This window comes from Homo sapiens, chromosome 6 (genome assembly GCF_000001405.40).
Source record: "Homo sapiens chromosome 6, GRCh38.p14 Primary Assembly".
Lineage (NCBI taxonomy): Eukaryota > Metazoa > Chordata > Mammalia > Primates > Hominidae > Homo > Homo sapiens.
Genome location: NC_000006.12, coordinates 112,043,542 through 112,043,864, shown reverse-complemented (window position 1 = coordinate 112,043,864; position 323 = coordinate 112,043,542). Strand labels below are relative to the sequence as shown.

Here is a 323-nt window from a genome sequence, read left to right as displayed (position 1 = left end):
CCCTGCGGACGCTAGATGGCGGAATGGGTTAAGGGACTAGCCCTGCTCTGGGGTCCGGGCGCCCCTATATAAAAGCAGGCGCTTCCTCTGCCGCAGAGCCCTGCATTATTGATTGTGACGCTGCCGCAGAGGTGGGAGGAGCCCGCCGCCATCTCGCCAAGTCTGCAGTATCGGGAACATGGCTTTAGGATCCTTTTCTCTCTCTGCAAAAAGTCCCTCGATAGCTGGAAAGAGAGAGCTCTCTGTGGCCCACATGATTGTTTTCATTCATAGGAAGATCAGACCTTCCCATAGTCAGAATCATTTTTATTTCACATTGTCAT

General features: G+C 52.6%; 1 annotated feature.

Annotated features, from left to right (window-relative positions):
- Nucleotides 1-100: a silencer, noted in NCBI's record as "silent region_17484". NCBI's record gives its function as "represses an Ori minimal core promoter by ATAC-STARR-seq in GM12878 lymphoblastoid cells {active_cell/tissue: GM12878}" and the evidence as "EXISTENCE:reporter gene assay evidence [ECO:0000049][PMID:35858748]".